Source organism: Homo sapiens, chromosome 2 (genome assembly GCF_000001405.40).
Source record: "Homo sapiens chromosome 2, GRCh38.p14 Primary Assembly".
Classification (NCBI taxonomy): domain Eukaryota; kingdom Metazoa; phylum Chordata; class Mammalia; order Primates; family Hominidae; genus Homo; species Homo sapiens.
This window is the reverse complement of record NC_000002.12, coordinates 99,709,198-99,728,239: the sequence shown is the minus strand read 5'-3', so window position 1 is coordinate 99,728,239 and position 19,042 is coordinate 99,709,198. Positions and strand designations below refer to the sequence as shown.

The 19,042-nt window shown below is 40.6% G+C and overlaps 1 protein-coding gene across 20 annotated transcripts in view; it reads left to right on the top strand.

Annotated features, from left to right (window-relative positions):
• The window catches only part of AFF3 (ALF transcription elongation factor 3), a 597,172-nt gene that overhangs the window by 414,351 nt on the left and 163,779 nt on the right, over window positions 1–19,042 (top strand). For all 20 annotated transcript variants that reach the window (NM_002285.3, XM_047444286.1, NM_001386135.1 and 17 more), the window contains one exon: window positions 1,112–1,163. In NM_002285.3, the coding sequence (NP_002276.2) occupies window positions 1,112–1,163 (52 nt within the window). The remainder of the gene's footprint in view (window positions 1–1,111; window positions 1,164–19,042) is intronic.

Sequence of the window (19,042 nt, the reverse complement as noted above, 5' to 3'; positions counted from 1 at the left end):
GTTATCAGTGACTTCTTCCATCTCCAAGCCTCAAGGAAATACAAAGAAACTCCTTACAGAATGAGGATGCATGGTTCAAACCACCAATTGATTAAGGATTAGGAATTACATTAAGCCTACTGTAAACTACAAGAAGTGAACTGGTTCCAAGCTCCCCCAACTACGTACAACTCGTTAATTCCTCAGTGATCACAGCCCACAGAAGCATTTCCTTAACTAGCCTTTCAGATGGTCAGAAAGGATTTCTGGTTTACATCTCATTCTGCTTTAAGCTAGGGGCCCCAAAACCTGCCACCAGGGCTCTCTATGGGGTATAAAATAGGGGGATCTTGGGACCTACAGTGCAACCTCAGTGTTCAGTAAAAATTCTCTCCTCCTGGCCGGACGTGGTGGTTCACGCCTGTAATTCCAACACTTTGAGAGGCCGAGGCGGGCAGATCACTTGAGGTCAGGAGTTCGAGACCAGCCTGGCCAACATGGTGAAACCCTGTCTCTACAAAAAATATAAAAATCAGCCAGGTGTGGTGGCAGGCACCTGTAGTCCCAGCTACTCGGGAGGCTGAGACTGGAGAATTGCTTGAACCCGGGAGGTGGAGGTTGCAGTGAGCCGAGATTGTGCCACTGCACTCCAGCCTGGGTGACAGAGTGAGACTCTGCCTCAAAAAAAAAAAAAAAAAAAATTCTTTCCTCCAAGTTCTGATTCAGCCTGACCTGGTTTGGCTTATGTTAGCAGAAGCAATCAAAGTTCAAAGTGCCTTGGATATAGAATGCCAATGGATTTATTTCCTGAAATTTTCTGTAAAGTGAAGTGGAAGGAAACAGGTTCCATCTGTAAGATATTCATCTTCTGGCAAAGTCTCCACTCCAAGCCTCTGGTTGTTTGCAAATAGCTCCTCAGTACCTACTCACAGATTTGTGCCTGGGCAGTTGCATTGCAGAAAAGAAATTATTTTGCAAATCCGGTTCTCAGACAATAAAAGATGTTTTAAAAGCCTCCTGCTACACATTTTGAAAGATTGTTAATAGGAGCATGGAAATATATTTAATCTCTCTTAAATCTTAAAGACTGTAAGACTCATATGTCGGTATTTTTTTCTGCTTCCTTTTTAAGAGAAAGGTGATGCAGAGCCAGAGAGTCCAGACAATGGCACATCGAATACATCGTAAGTTTCTTTCATTTTCTATCAGAGATGCCTGTTCTTAAATATGCCTCATAAAATGAGATAGTGCAAGTATCTTGTAATAGTAATAATGATGATGGAAGGAAGCCCATGGTTCTCTTTTCTCATGATAATGTCTTTCTAAATGCTTTGGGTGCAGATGCATTTTTTATGCTTTAGCAGAGTAAGAGGAATCTTGAAAAATGCAAATGCTTCTCTTTATGAAGTAGAAATGTAATGAGATTTGAGCATGTATGCTGGGGGGATTTGGTTGGAGACTTTCAGCATCATCTTAAGAATTGCAGAACTTTTCACACTTAAACTGGGAGGTATGCTGTCCCACACAGCTGTGCAGTAACAAGGTCATTTCAGAAGCTTGCCATCTGCAACCTCACCTTGGAATTATGTGAAAAGCACAATTATCGATATCTCTGGAATCTCAAGAGTTTCTTTTTTGAATTAACAAAAGCAGTTTTAAAAACATAAGAAAAGGCCCTTATAAAACATGTGCTCCTCACTCTATGTTTTGTCTGTTTCTTCTCAATATTCAAGGAATCCAAATATATTTTTACTGATTAATTTGATGCCAAATTGATATACCAACATTTAAATTAAAAAATTCATGAGCTAACAAGTGACTTTATTTTAGTTCCATAAGAGTCAATAACAGGTTTGCTCCTTAAAAATCTTTATTTTTATCACTTATGAGCAGTGGCATGTGTTTTCTTATTATAAGATAGGCTTTGTGAATTTATCTGTATGGGGATCAGGATTTTAAAAAACAGCATTTTTTAAGTGCTGTTGATTGGAAATCAGTTTGTGGTAAAATACTGAGTGTCTTATTTTGTCCAAAATCTGTTTCTTTGTCTAGAAAGATCCTTTGGCTTGAATAGGAGAGCTGTGTATTTCATAAGAGATATGATTATATGTTTGTCTTTCTTAAGATACTTCCCTAAAAGTTTAAATAGTTCCATTGTCCTGCTTTCAGATGTTATAATGAATGTGACTGGTCTTAAATGGTTAAAATGTTACTAATTTTTAATTTTTTTGTGTTGTAAAATATAATGGGAAAGGCTTTTAATGCCATCTGGAGGCATTCTAGAGAACTGAAAAGGGTAGAATCATTGAAAATTCAGTTCTTTTGAGTAACAGTAGAAACTGCATAAAAATTCATGCAACCAGAATGTAAGCTATTTGGGGGAAGTTGTATTTTTTAATAAATTATTTTATAAAAGTTTTAATTGTAGAAACAATTTTTTCAAATTCTCAATAATGAAATTATTTTAAAGACTGACAAAGAATATACAAAGTATGTTGGAAAGTGACTAGCATCCTACATTTAATTTTACATAGTTAAAAATCACATTCAGTAGGCACCCATTTGGTTAAGGCAGTTGGATGTGCTTCTAAAGTTCTCCTTCCCTTACGTATTTCTAAAATGTCCGTTCCCAGCCAGGCTCAGTGGCTCACGCTTGTAATCCCAACACTTTGGGAGGCCGAGGCAGGCAGATCACTTGAGACCAGGAATTTGAGACCAGCCTGGCCAAAATGGCAAAACCTCGTCTCTACTAAAAATACAAAAATTAGCTGGGTGTGGTGGCAGACACCTGTAATCCCAGCTACACGGGAGGCTGAGGCACAAGAATAGCTTAAACCCAGGATCATGCCACTGTGCTCCAGCCTGGGTGACAAAGTAAGACTGTCTCAAAAATAATAAATAAAAAAATAAAAAGTTTATTGCCTAAAAGCACTGGTTTGCTTTACTCTGTACCTTATTTCTTATAACATCTATGAAAATAGGTAAGTTGGCCAGGCACGGTGGCTCACACCTGTAATCCCAGCACTTTGGGAGGCCAAGGGGGGCGGATCACGAGGTCAGGAGTTCGAAACTAGCCTGACCATCATGCTGAAACCCCATCTCTACCAAAAATACAAAAAAAAATTAGCTGGGCATGGTGGCGCGTGCCTGTAATCTCAGCTACTCAGGTGGCTGAGTCAGGAGAATCACTTGAACCCGGGAGGCGGAGGTTGCAGTGAGCAGAGATCGCACCACTGCACTCCAGCCTGGGTGACAGAGGGAGATTCTATCTCAGAAAAAAAAAAGAAAAAAAATAGGTAAGTTGTCTGAGGAATTACTTTTAAACCCTCTGGAAATATAAAAACAATGGGAGCTTGAAGCATCACCCCATATTCCTGCCTCTTTGAGCAAAACGGTTTCTTAGGCACCTGCCTCTTAAACTAGAAATAACAGGTTGCAAGCATCTCTCCTATGAATGGAGAATTCTGAACTTGAAACCGCTCAAGAGACCTCTAACAGAGGTTCTGTTATAATTGGGTATGAGGTACAGTACATTACGGATAAAGAGTGAGATTCAGGATGCCTTTGATTTGTGTAGTATTTTACATTCTTATGTGCAGCATCTATCTGAGCTTTTTTAGGTAGGTAGGATAGAAACAATATCCCCATATTATGGATAAGGAATCTGAGGATCAGAAAGGTCACTCCAGGCCAGGTGCGGTGTCTCACACTTGTAATCCCAGCACTTTGGGAGGCCCAGGTGGGTGGATCACCTGAAGTCAGAAGTTTGAAACCAGCCTGGCCAACATGGCGAAACCCCACCTCTACTAAAAACACAAAAATTAGCTGAGTGTGGTGGCATGCGCCTGTAATCCCAGCTACTGGGGAGGCTGAGGCAGGAGAATTGCTTGAACCTAGGAGGCGAAGGTTGCAGTGAGCCAAGATTGCACCACTGCACTCCAGCCTGGGCAACAGCATGAGACTGTGTCTCAAAAAAAAAAAAAAAAAAAGAAAGGTCATTCCACTGAAGTGAGGAGTTAGAGCATAAACCTTCTGATTTTTGCCCATTTTCCATACCAAGAGGGGGTGTGGGTCTCAAGAGACAAACTAAAGCCATGAGTCACAATCAAGTAGGAAAATTGGGAGCAGAGGATTTGTTAAGTGGCAAGCATACTGATCTGGTAGGGCTGCCAGAGCAAAGTACCAGCAAGTAGGTGGCGAAAGTAACAGAAATTTATTTTCTCATGGTTCTGGAGGCTGGAAGTCCCAGTCAGGGTGTCAGCAGGGTTGGTTGCTTCTGGGAGATGTAAAGAGAGGAGTTATCCCCGGCCTCTCTCCTTCGCTTGTAGGTGACCGTCTCCTCCCAACGTGTCCTCACGTCATCGTCTCTCTGTGCATGTCTATCTCTGTGTCTGTTTATATAGTCAGCAGTCATATTGGATTAGGGCCCACCCTAATGACGTCATTTTAACTTGATTACCTCTGTAAAGACCCTGTCACTAAATAAAGTCACATTCTGAGGCACTGGAAGTTAGGATTTCAACATATAAATTTTGGGAAGAAGTAGTTTGGCCTGTAACATTAAGGGGCAGAGTAATCAGAGTGATTCAGAAGTCAGGTAAACAGAACCAGGGGTACACAGATTTCTGAAAATGGGAAAAGGGGAGACAGCCTAAGTAAAACATGAAACATAATAGGCTCCATGGCAGCTGCAGGAGTGGAGCAGAGCGAAGAAAACAGGGCTAGCAAGCATGGGGCACTGGGAAAGATGCCTCTCTCATATTCATGGTGTGGTGGAACCAGTGTGGCTTCAGTAAGGCCTATACATCCCTCTGTCTGTATAACTCTATGACCCTGAGTCATTAAAGCCATTATATGGACTTAAATTGTAATACAAGGTTGGGAGTCTCCAAACAGAAGAGCTTATTTCCTAAGGAAGCATCTTTCTTCATGGCCTCCTTTAAAAACGGGAGATCGATCATGATTGGTTTCAGATGGTCAATGCTTGGCAGTATGACACAGTCTGGACAACACCCGAGTAATCCTTCAATATATATTATTTAGTGATCCTATGAGCATTCAGGGCAATGAAAGGAGCGATTTAATCTTAACATGCGTGCACACACAAAAGCACAAATTAAAATGTCTGTGACAGACTTCCAGTTATATTAATGATGGAAGAACCTATCTTAGACTAACTCTCCTGCAGATAGCTGTTACAAACTCTGGACAAAATACTTTTGTTAAAAAAACTATTCATAGTCTAACTAAAAGAAGGCAGAGAATGTAGGAAATTTGATCCTTGAAAGAGGGTCATTTGATCCTTGAAAGAGTGAGAACTATGTTTATATAGCTTCTCCCATGAAGGCATGCCCCAGTCCACAAAGAACAATTAGAACTCAAGGAGAAAGCCACAGCTGTAATGGCTTGAGGTGTCAGGGGATAGAGTTTAGGGCTGCCAGAGTGGCTGGGAATTGAGTAAGTCACAGAAAGAAAAGAGCCATAAAGAAGAGAGCCCTCCATTCTGTATATAAATTTCCATCAATCCTTGAATAACCCCTAAACTGCATATGTGTGGGGAATATGCCAATGAGCGTAGTGGAAAACAATAACTAGAAAGCCAAAAATGCTGAGCAGAGACTCTTTTCAGCTGCTGCCTACTGCCTACAGCTACTGCCTACAAAGTTCAGAATCTGAATCCCACCCAAGTTAGAGGGGCTTGGTAAATGCCTCAGATTTTCTATTGAAACCCCAGAAGGGGTGTGTGCTTTCAGTGTAAAGGAGTCACCGTAACATTAAGGGCAAAACCGAAACAGATCCTTCCTAACAAAGTATAACACTAAGTACCCAAAAGCTCAAGCTAATCAGCTAGAGATTTTATTGCCTGATAGAACAAAAAACAATCAACATTGTTTAAAAGAAGAGAGTTTGGAATCTCTAAAACAAAATTTACAGTGTTCATTATCTAACCAAAACTTAAAAGACATATGAGTGGGAAAATGTGACCCATAATCAAGAGAAAAAATAGCCACTGTAATAGATCTTGAGGTGACCTAGATATTAGAATTTTCAGACAAGAATTATAAAGCAACTACTATAATATGTCCAAGGATGTAAAGGAAAACATAGTCATCATGACTGAAAAGAAGGAGAATCTCAGCAGGATAATGGAAACCAATAAGAATAACCAAATGAAAACTCTGGAACTGAAAAATGTAACATTTGAAATAAATGAAGCATAGAAATGAAAAAATAATCAGTAAACTTAAACTCATATCAGTAAGAATTGTTCAATGTGAAAAACAGAATAAAGATTAAAAAACAATCAACAGAGCCTCAGTGAATTGTAGGATAATATCAAGTAGTCTGATATACATGCATTGTGATGCCAGGAGGAGAGGAGAGACAAAATAGACCTGAAAAAATATCTGAAGGAATAATAGCTGAAAACTTCCCAAATTGGATGAAAACATTAATTTATAGATTCAAGAAGCTCAGCAAGCTGCAAGCAAGATAAACACAAATAAAACTACACCGTGGAACATTATGGGAAACTAAACAGAAAAAGAAAATCTTTAAGACAGCCAGAGAAAAATAATATCTTATACACAGGGGAACACAGATACAATTAACTGAAGAATTCTCATCACAAATATGTAATACAGTGCAAAGGCATCTTTAAGGTGCTGAAAGACAAAAGAGAAAAAGGAAGAACTGTCAAGCCAGAATTCTTTTTTTTTTTCTTTTTTTTTTTGAGACAGAGTCTCACTCTGTCCCCAGGCTGGAGTGTAGTGGTGCTATCTCAGCTCACTGCAACCTCTGCCTCCCAGGTTCAAGCGATTGTCCTGCCTCAGCTTCCTGAGTAGCTGGGACTACAGGTGCGTGCCACCATGCCCAGCTAATTTTTGTATTTTTAGTAGAGACAGGATTTCACCATGTTGGCCAGGATGATCTCAATCTCCTGATCTCATGATCCGCCCACCTTGGCCTCCGAAAGTGCTGGGGTTACAGGCATGAGCCACCACACCCAACCCAGAATTCTAAATAATCAAAAATATCCTTCAGAATTGACAGTAAAATAAAGACATGTTGGGATGTACAAAATATGAGAGAATTCATTTCCAGTAGGCCTACACTACAATAAATTGACAAAGAAAATTTGTCAGGCCACAGGGTAATAATATGAGATGGAAGCTCAAACCTACAAGAAGAAAATATTTATAGGAAATAATAAATATGTGGGTAAATCTTTTTTTAATTAATGTAAGAATCAAAATATTATTTTGTGGGATTTGTGATGTATGCAGATGTAAAATATATAACAAAATAGCACAAACAATAAGGGAAGGCAAGTGGAATTCTACACAACTGCAAAGTTTTTACATTTTATGTGAAGTGATATGACATTAAATCTAAATAGACTGGGGATAAGATAAAGATGTGTGGTATAATACCCAGAGAAACCACTAAAAACAAATATCCAAAAGCAGCAGAGCTAAGAAGTCATTGTAGGAATTAAAATAAAATACTAAAAAATAGATTAACATAAAAGATGGCGGGAAAGAAAGACCAGAAATGAAAAACAGAAGGTATCAATAGAAAACAAATTGAAAAATAGTAAACCTGAACCCAGTCATATTAGTAACTGCATTAAATACAAATGGACTGTCATAGTCCATTTAGTGTTGCTATTACAGAATACCTGATCCTGGGTGGTTTATGAAGAAAAGAGGCATCCTTAGCTCGCGGTTCTGCAGGCTGTATGGGAAGCAGGGCATCAGCATCTGCTTGGCTTCTGGTGAGGACTTCTATGCTGCATCAAAACATGATAGAGAAGGGCAAAGGGGAAATGGGCAGGTGCGAAGAGGGAAACCTAAGAGATGGTCTGGCTTTATAACAACCTACTCTTCCAGGAACTCTTTCATCTCCTCTAGAGCTAATTTATTATCTCAAGAGTGAGAACTCACTCACCTTCAGGGAGGACATTAATCTGTTTATGAGGCATCCATGCCCATGACCCAGACACCACCCTCTGGGCCCCAGCTCCCAATACCACCACACTGGGGATCAAATTCCAACATGAGATTTGATGGAGACAGACAAACCATATCCAAACTATAGCATGGACTGAAAAAACTCCAATTAAAAGGAAAAGATTGTCAGACCAGCTACAAAATTAAGACTGCCTGCGGTCTACATGATACGTACTTTATTTATTTGTTTGTTTGTTTATTTATTTATTTTTGATACGGAGTCTCGCTCTGTCACCCAGGCTGGAGTGCATTGGCGCGATCTCAGCTCACTGCAAGCTCCGCCTCCCGGGTTCACGCCATTCTCCTGCCTCAGCCTCCTGAGTAGCTGGGACTACAGGCGCCCGCCACCATGCCCGGCTAATTTTTTGTATTTTTAGTAGAGATGGGGTTTCACCGTGGTCTCCATCTCCTGACCTTGTGATCCACCCTCCTCGGCCTCACAAAGTGCTGGGATTAAGGCGTGAGCCACCGTGCCCGGCCAATACGTACTTTAAATAAAACACAAGTAGGTTGAAGCCAGAAGACAGAAAAGATAAACTATGTAAATAATAAGCATAAGAAAGCTGATTCGTGACCATATTAATGCTACCACATAGACTTCAAGACAAAGAGTATAAGAGGCAAAAAAGGACATTTTATAATACTCAAAAGGTCACTGGTAAATTCTATGAAAACTTTAAGATATATTTATATCAATGGAACACCAACAAATGAACTAACACTCTTATACAAACTTTCAGAAAATAAAGGGAGAAGGAAAACTACCCAATTTATTGTATAAGGTCAGTACAACCCTGATACCAAAACCTGACATAAACTTGATAAGAAAAGAAAAATATCATACAATATCCCATCAATGTTTGCACAAACACTGATGCAAAAATTATTCACAACATATTAGCATATCTGATTCAGTGACGCATGAAAATAATGTAATTCACTATGACTAAGCAGGATTTATCACAGGAGTGCATGGTTGGTTTACCATTAGAAAATCACTTAATGTATTCCACTATATGAATAGAATAAGGAAGAAAAACCACATGGTCATCTAAATAGATGCAGAAAAAGCTTCTGGCAAAATGGAGCATCCATTCATGATTTAAAAAGAAAAAAAAAACACTCCCAGCCAACTAGGACTAGAAGGAAACTTATTTATTCTAATGATGGCCATCAGGAAAAAAAAAAAAAAAAAAAAGGCCGGGCGCGTTGGCTCACACCTATAATCCCAGCACTTTGGGAGGCCAAGGCGGGTGGATCATGAGGTCAGGAGATCAAGACCATCCTGGCTTAACACGGTGAAAACCCGTCTCTACTAAAAATACAAAAAATTAGCCGGGCATGGTGGCGGGCACCTGTAGTCCCAGCTACTCGGGAGGCTGAGGCAGGAGAATGGCATGAACCCGGGAGGCAGAGCTTGCAGTGGGCTGAGATCGTGCCACTGCAGTCCAGCCTGGCCAACAGAGTGAGACTCCTTCTGAAAAAAAAAAAAAAATTGAAAAACCTACTGCTAAATTCATATTCAATAGTGAATTTCCAAGCACTTCTTCCTAAGATCAGGAATACAGCAATGATATCTACCCTTATCACCTCTATTCAACATTGTCCTGGAGGTTTTGGTCAGGCAATAAGGCAAGGAAAGGAAGTAGTAGACATAAAGATTGAAAATAATTACTGTTTATGGACAAAGTCCTAAGAATCTAAGGACTACTACTAAACAAGTACTAGAATCAGTAAGTAAACTTATAAAGGTCAATAACCAAAAATCTATTGTGTTTCCATTTATCAACAATAAACAATTGGAAAATGAGATTTAAAAAGCAATTCCATTTAAACTGACATAAAAAACATAAAAACTGAGTAAATGTAGCCAAAGAAGTGTAAGACTTGTATAATGAAAATTACAAAACATCTTTGAGAGAAATTTAAAACCTAACTAAATGGAGAGACGTTCATGAATTGGAAAACTTGATAGTGTTGACATCTCGATTTTTCTCATCTTGATCTATAGATTCAACACAATCTTGATCAAAAGACCTGCAGGACATTTTTATAGAAAATGGTTTTACAGATTCTAAAATCTTTATAGAAAACCAAAAGAGGTAGCCAAAACAGTCTTTAAGAACAACAGAGTTAGAGGCCTTACAGTACCTGACTTCAAGACTTACTGTAAAACTAAAGTAATTTAAGACAGTGTGGCACTGATATAAGGGCAGACAAATAAATCAATAGAAAAAATAGTCTAGAAGTGGATCCATATGGATATGGTCATTTGATTTTCCTCAGAGACACCAAAGCAGTCCAGTGGGGAAAGCCGGGTCTTTTCAACAAATGATGCCAGAGCAACTTCTCAGGGGAAAAATGAATCTCATACCACACACAATTGAGAGGGAGCACAGATCTCAATATAAACGCTAAAACAACAAAGTTTCTAGAGGAAAACAGAAGACAGTATCTTTACAACTAGGAACAGACAGAGATGTCTTACAGAGGTCACAAAACCACACAACATGAAAGAAAGTTCTAATGGATTGGACTTCATCAAAATTTAAAGATAACTGCTCATCAAAATGAAAAGTCAAGCTGCGAACCGGGAGAATATATTCGCAATACGTGTATCTGACAAATAATTTGTGTCTAGAATATATAAGATATTCTGACAATTCAATGACAAAATTATAAATTTCTTAAATGGACAAAAGCTTTGAACAGACAAAAGAAGATACACAAATTGGCCAATAAGCAGATGAAAAGGTGCTTTTCACTAATAACGTTTATTTTAGGGAAATACAAATTAAAGCCACAATGAGATACCAGTATACACCCACTAGAATGGCTCAAATTAAAAATACCAATACCACTAAATCATGGTAAGTGTATGGAGCAATTTAAACTCTCATGCGTTGCTAGTAGGAGTGTAAAATGGCCTAACAATTTTTGAAAACTGTTTGTTTCTTATAAATGAACACACATTTATTGCATGACCTAGCCATTGCATTTGTAGGCATTAGTACAAGAAAAATGAAAAACATATTCATTAAAAAGATTCGTGCAAGAATATTCGTAGCTACTTGATTCATAACTGTGCAAAACTGAACCCCAATGTCCATCAACTCGTGAATAAACAGTTGTGGTATATTCATACAATGGAATACTTCTAATCAAATAGCAACAAACTGCTCACGCTATAGCATGGATCAATCACAGAAGCTTATGTTAAATGAAAGAAGCCAGACACATAAGAGTGTATACTGTAAAATTTGCTTTATGTGAAGTTCAAGAAAAAGGCAACAGGGGTTGCTGTGAGAGGCTGGGGATTGATTGGGAGTTGCCATGATGGGATATATATATATATATTTTTTTTTTGAGACGGAGTCTCACTCTGTCACCCAGGCTGGAGTGCAGTGGTGTGATCTCAGCTCACTGCAGCCTCTGCCTCCTGGGTTCAAACGATTCTCCTGCCTCAGCCCCCCCAAAGTAGCTGCGATTACAGGGAAGCACCACAACGCCCAGATAATTTTTGTATTTTTAGTAGAGATGGGGTTTCACCATGTTGGCCAGGCTGGTCTCGAACTCCTGATCTAGTGATCCGCCCACCTTGGCCTCCCAAAGTGCTGGGATTACAGACATGAGCCACCACACCCAGCCTATATATATATATATATAGTTATGTGACAGCTTTTTTACCTGATAATAATTAACCTGTTTTGAACACTTACCTTAACAAGGTACAACTCTTGGCACTTGACATGTGTTATCCTCTCTAACCCTTACAGCAATCCAGTAATACTCCTGTTTTACCAGTAGAAAGAGGCGAACTAATGTCCCTGTGTTTATTAACTTAAAGTGGCAAAGCCAAGATTTGAACCCAAGATTCAGATCCTAGAAGCCAAGCTCTTAACCACTGTCCCATTCTGCTACTATCCCAGAGCTCTTATATTGTTTCTCTAGAGACAATAACCATCTCAAGAAGATCAAGTAATTGAAATAATGCCTGAAAAGCAGTAGGTCAACATCCTGCTAGACTGTTGCCTATACTAGAAAAATTCTAGGAATAATGAGCAGATGAAGATTTCCAAGATTCCATGAAGGCCACAATTTGGCAGGATCACTGTGCTTGCTCAATCCACATTTACCACCACTGAAAATCCACTCTCAAGTCAAGGGTCAATTACACAGGCTTGTAGACAGATCCCAAGAGCATATCCTTCTACATTTGTAGATAACCCTCAATCGTACAAAGTAACTGTAGCCTTAAAGAATAAATGAAGATTTGAGGCTGAGCGCAGTGGCTCACACCTGTAATCCCAGCACTTTGGGAGGCCGAGGCAGGCGGATCACGAGGTCAGGAGATCGAGACCATCCTGGCTAACACGGTGAAACCCTGTCTCTACTAAAAATACAAAAAAATTAGCCGGGCATGGTGGCATGTACCTGTAGTCCCAGCTACTCGGGAGGCTGAGGCAGAAGAACGGCGTGAACCTGGGAGGCGGAGCTTGCAGTGAGCTGAAATCACACCACTGCACTCCAGCCTGGGTGACACAGTGAGACTCCATCTCAAAAAAAAAAAAAAAGATTTGAAATGACCTACATAAATCAGAAATAAACAGAGAGTGTTGAACTCCTCGGAGGAAAAAATAAACAAAATGAGGCAGAAGGAAAATGATCCAGCCAGGTGTACAGTAAAAGACTTGGAAACTATTATAAGCTCAGACCGCATTATAAGTCTTATAACTGTTATAAGCTCAGACCCATGAAATGTTCCTTCTTCAAAAATTAATATATTAGTTGGAATTCATATATGGAAAGTGCCTGTTTCGTAATAGGCACTAAATAAATCATTGTTCCTCCTGTTATAACAATATTCATAACTTATAAAAGCTATAAAACAGCCTCGTGTCTGCAGTTGATACTGATCAGAGCTTTACTAGAATTTTTCTCTTCTTTTTTAAAACTAAAACGTGGAAAACTAAGAAGATGTTAAGGGTGGTAAAAACAAAAATTAATAGAAAGTTTTAAAAGATCTCATGAAGCTAGGGCTGAGGAGGAGAAAGACTGAGTGGTCTACTCCAGAGATGCCAGCCAGAGTGAGCTCTTCTCCAAGGACAGGACCTTCTCCAAGAGTAGGACCATCAGCAAGAAGCGTGTGGCTTTACCTCTCCCCAGAGTGAAGGATGCAGGTCCTGCAGGAGGCTGAAGAATTCACCTCCACCACTGACTTCTATTTCAAAATGTCTTGGAAGACGTGAGCACCACAGATTGGTGGAGCAGGTCTGGATGATGCCCAGAGGCTCTTTCAGGTACATAATGTGCAACTTGGAGTCATATAGAAACATGCAAAGTGCAACATGTTCATGTCAGTGTCCCTGCATTGATATAATATTCATTAAAATTTTTTAATTAGCTCATTGTAGCACTATCTTAGAAAACATTAAATATGGAGGGAAAAAATACAGAGGAACAATTGTGTGCTAAACATATAAAGAAATCTATCATTTATGCAAGTGCATTTAACAATAAGGTTACACAAACTGATCATAGAGTAGTGTCTGGAAGTTGAGAGATCAAGGTCGATTTGAGAATTGTTACCAAAAGATTTTCTTTTCCAGAGAAACTTGAAACCTTCCTGATACTTATTTTGGCTCTAGCAATATATGTCTAAAATGATGAACTGTGGCTGATCTTTTAGTCTATGAGGTGTCCGTCCACAGAGACCTCCTTTTTGTATCTGTTTAAGTGATTTGCCACAATCATTTCAGCTAAGAAAATGAAAAACCTAGCATACAGCCTTTGTCTAGAGAAAGTTGGCCAGATCCTGTTTCTCCAACTATTGGAAACCAAGAATAAAAAATAAAATAGAAAGGGCCTCTTCAAGTTCCTCAGACCCCACCTCATTAGTTAGAATCACAAATTAGACTGGAGGCCTGCAAAGGGGCATGGCTTATTCAGTGAATAAGGAAGGAAGACTGACCAGCCTTTGCCTACCAAGGAGTCAGCTTTGGGCTGGGGAGAGTTACTGAAGGAGAAGAGGTGAGGAGGAAAGGTCAGTTTCACCTGAGAGGGCGATTAGGCATTGCTGTTGTATTTGTTTTGCTCTCAGAATAAAACACTAAAACACAGGAATGTCTGTTGGAAATGATACCATCATAGAAAAAGACTGCGAACCCCATTTTCTGTGTTCTGGCACGACATTGGAAGGTCCGGGTTCCCAGAGGTCGTAAAAGAGAGTTTATAAAATTAGGGAGTCTGGCTGGGCATGGTGGCTCACCCCTGTAATCCCAGCACTTTGGGAGGCTGAGGCAGGCAGATCACCTGAGGTCAGGAGTTCAAGACCAGCCTCGCCAACATGGTGAAACCCCATCTCTACTAAAAATACAAGAAAATTAGCCGGGCATGGTAGCGGGCGCCTGTAATCCCAGCTACTCAGGAGGCTGAGGCAGGAGAATTGCTTGAACCTGGGAGGTAGAGGCTGCAGTGAGCTGAGGTCACACCATTGCCACTCTAGCCAGAGCAACAGAACAAGACTCTCTCTAGAAAAAAAAAAAATAGGGAGTCTATATTCCCCTGTCTCCTGTTTAATTGCCCAGGGCCCACCCTTTGTCTTCTACACCCAGGCTCCTTCCAAATGTACCTTTCCTCGGGGGGTTATCTAGGTCAAGGTTCCTCAAATATTTTTTAATTTAATTTTTTAAAATTTTAATTGTCTGTAATCCTAGCACTTTGGGAGGCTGAGGCGGGCGGATCATGAGGTCAGGAGATTGAGACCAACCTGGCCAACAGGGTGAAACCCCATCTCTACTAAAAATACAAAAATTAGCTGAGCGTGGTGGCACGTGCCTGTAATCCCAGCTACTCGGGAGGCTGAGGCAGGAGAATCGCTTGAACCAGGGAGTCAGAGGTTGCAGTGAGCCGAGATTGTGCCACTGCACTGCAGCCTAGCGACAGAGCGAGACTCTGTCTCAAAAAAAAAAAAAAAAAAATTAACTCTGGCAGAATACACATAACATAAAATGTACCATCTTAACCATTTTCAAGTGTGCAGTTCAGTGGCATCAAGGATTAATACATTTACATGTTGAGCGGCCGTCACCACCCTCTCCTTAGAACTCTTTTTATCTTCCCAAACTGAAACTCTGTGCCCATTAAACAATAACTCCCTGTTCCCTGCTCCTCCCCATTTCTGGTAATCACCATTGCTGTCTCTTTACATTTGACTACTCTGGGGACCTCATATAAGTGGAATCATACAGTATTTGTCCTTGCGTGTCTGGCTTATTTTCCAAAGTGTAATGTCCACAGGGTTCATCCATGTTGCAGCATGTGTCAGAATTTTCTTCCTTTTTAAGGCTGAGTAATATTCCATTATATGTACAGACCACATTTTGTTTATCCATTTATCCGTCAATGGACACTTGGGTTGGCTCCACCTTTTGGCCATTGTGAATAAGGCTGCCAGGAACGTGGGTTTACATTATCTCTTTGAGCCCCTGTTCTTAATTTTTGGGGGTATATACCCACCTCAAAACTTTATGACTATAACCTACACAGTCAGAAGTACATTTTATACCGTATCCTTTGTGAATGTGTGTACTGAAGCAAAAGTGTCGCAAAGATCACCTACCATTACTCTGACATTTTCTATTCCTCATCTTTTTAAATGCAGGTCACAATTGCACATGTTCACTTTTGTCAGCCCCTGTTCACAAAACACAGTAGAGGTTACTGACCAACTTCTGAGATGCTTTGTGCCAAAGGAGTGAGGAAGGAGAAGGAAATGGCATGCACTGGGCCCCTGCCATGTTTCTAGCCCTGGCCTAGTCACTTTGTGTAAATGATCTCTTCAGTCTTCCCAGTAGCTCTGAAAGCTGGGCTCGTCTTTCCTCAATTTACAGATGAGGAAACTGAGGCTGAAAGAGCTCAGCCAGTGAGTGTCTTCCTACACAGGCCTTTCCTCTGGTGCACGCTGCCAAGAGGCGACTAGAATATATGGCTCCCTGAAGTATTCCCCTTGGAGAACCCAAGAGCATTCCAGTAGGACCTAGGAAAGTTTTAACCCAAAGAACTGACAACCCAGAATATTTTAGGACCCATTCATAGGTTCAACAAGTAGGCATTTGGAATATATGTCATGGGAGAAGGGAAGTTTTCAGTGACTCCAGTTAGACCACATAAGCAATGGTTTACTTCAGTTATGATTAAGGTGGGGAACAGTCTCTGGAAGCGAGTTTGGCCCTTTTGCAATGAGCTCTTCAGTCCACAGAGACATGAGTTAAGAAACTTCAGCTACTCCATACTCACTGTGGCTTTAACAGGTGCCAACGTTTTTCTGAGGAGTCGCCCGGGCTGTGGGAGATTGTGGCTGGTATTACCATATTTATTGACTGCAGCAAGCAATCAATAAATATTGCCTGACATTAACAGACTGCCTGTGCTTCCTCCCAATGTTATCTTTAATGAATCTTCATGCTCTTGTGTTGAAGTGTTTCTAGCATTGAGAACATAGTACTTATTCAATAAGCAAGTACAGTATGAATAAATGAAGGAATGCAGGATACTACAAAGGATGGCTGGAACACATACATTCGCTGTGCGTCTTCTTTCAGAAATACCATCAGCTGGATTTGTTCTCCCTCTTCCTTGGATTCTAGTTGAGATGTAAAACCTCCTAAATGCCAAGCTTGCATATTTGCACACTGAAGCCCGCCCACCTTCCACCCCTAGATCGCAGGTTCTCTTTGCACCCGCATGCCTCTAATGCTGACCCCTTCTCAGGCAGCCTGGGACCATAAAGATACTTGGCATGCCTTAGATGCCTATTTTGTACCAGGCAGTCTACTGGACATGTTGTCTCATTTAATCCTCATAACAATCCAATGAGATGTATTATTACATTATTACATCTCATATTACAGAAGAGAAAAACGAGGTCTCAGAGAAGTGAGTTGGCTCCTGGAGGGGTTTGCAGTCATGAGCCGCAGAGCCAAGATTCCGACTGGGTCCGCCTGCTCCAGATCCTCTTGGAGACACCACACGCGGCCTGGCACAGAGGGCACATGAAACGGGAGAGATGTTAAGGAAGAAACCCCATTTCTGAAGAAAGGGCTGGTATTTCCCTAAAAGCCCTTAATATCTGCCCTCCCTCCCTACTGTCAAGAGAATTGCATCTTGAGGCTGTGAGGAGGCTGGGGAGGAGCGACAGGAGGAAGCCTGGCTCCTGTCGCTGAGTGAGCCTGGTATTTCTGTGCAGTGATGGGGGCCTTGGAAACCGCAGGGGCTGCAGTCTGGGATTCATCTGACATTCCGAGTAGCTGGCAGAAGTCAAGTGACAGCTTCCCAGCCTCGTCCCACCTGCTCACCTCAGAGGGCCTTCTGCTGTTGGCAGAGTGTATTTTAGTAAAGCTGTGCTCACATGATCCTGCCAAAGCATGTAAAATATGTTAGCCTCTGCCTCCAAGGTTCTACCGCAGAGAATTCCACCCCCACTTTTAACTTCTTAAATGACTGAAATATCCAAAGGGACAGGGAATGTGGAGATAATGGGCAGGTGACCAAACTTTCACATTCAGGCAGGCACTCACCTTTTTGTGTCAAAAAAGGCTATTCTTGCTTTAAAAATAAGGATTCCATGGGATTTCAAGGATTTAGTTAGAATACTGCAGGTGTTGGTATATCATGATTAAGAGGTAACAAATACTGAATACTGGCCAGGCACAGTGCCTCACACCTGTAATACCAACACTTTGGAAGGCTGATCACTTGAGGTCAGGAGTTCGAGACCAACTTTACCAACATGGTGAAACCCCATCTCTACTAAAAATACAAAAATTAGTCGGGCATGGTAGCGCACGCCTGTAATCCCAGCTACTTGGGAAGAAGCTGAGGCATGATAATCCCTTGAACTGGGGAAGCAGAGGTTGCAATGACCCAAGATCGCAACACTGCACTCCAGCCTGGACAATAGAGACTCTGTCTCAAAAAAAGAAACAAAAAACAAATACTGAATACTGTGTGCCAGGCTCTGTATTAAATACTTTATAAAAATAAGGGTAATAGTGTAACAATTCTGCAGGGACAATAAGTGTAAGCTGAAACATAGGATCACCCTATACATGAATCAGCTCTTCGAATCTTTATAGCAACTCAGAAAGGAGACAACATTAGAATATCCCATTGTATAGATAAGAAACCAAGGCAGAGAGAGCTCACCCAGGTAGGCAGCATGGCCAAGCCAGGATTTTACCCCAGAGGTGTTTGACTCAGAAGCACTTGTTTTCCTCACTGCCTCAGACTACAGACACCTGAGCTGCATTAAAAACATGGATAAACAAATGAAGTTCAAAGTGGTTTCCAGATGGCTGGAAACCCAGTGATTTGGGACTATTTCATTTGAAAATCTGCTTAACAGTAAAGCTAGACGATCAAGTTCGATTAATTGGCTTTGGGGGTAGGGATGAGAAAGAGTGTCATTTATTTGCTTGTGGAGTTTCTGGGAGTAAATAGAATAATAAGTAGGGTGAAACAAGAATAACCAGTAGTTGGATAGAACTGATAACCATATAGCTTCACTTCTTGGAACAGTAGTATCATGCTAATTTCACACAACCTTGGAAGTTGTATCCTCTGAAAATAAAGAGAAGTTTCTTTTTAATGAGTAAATACATAAAATATTGCTATTTATAATTTTTTTAAAATACCCATTTGACTGCAAGAGAAAAATCTTTTCTCTCATGACCCAGTTATCAAAGTGGAGACATTCTCTGACTTGGTGAGTTTTATCTTTCTATTGATAGTTTGGGCTAGATCACGTGATCTTCACCCCTAAAACTTACTGAGCATTTACTGTGTTCTTGGCACTGTTCTGAGTGCTTGTCTCATACTCTTACGGCTCTCTGGGGTGGTTATCCCCATTTTCAGATAAGGAATATGTGCACAGAAAGGTTAGGAAACTGGACCAGCCTCACACAGCTAGTTTGTGACAGAGCTAGGGTTTGAACCCAGTTTGACTCCTGAACTCATACTTTTTTCAAAAAAGAGATCTCCCTATTTGCCTG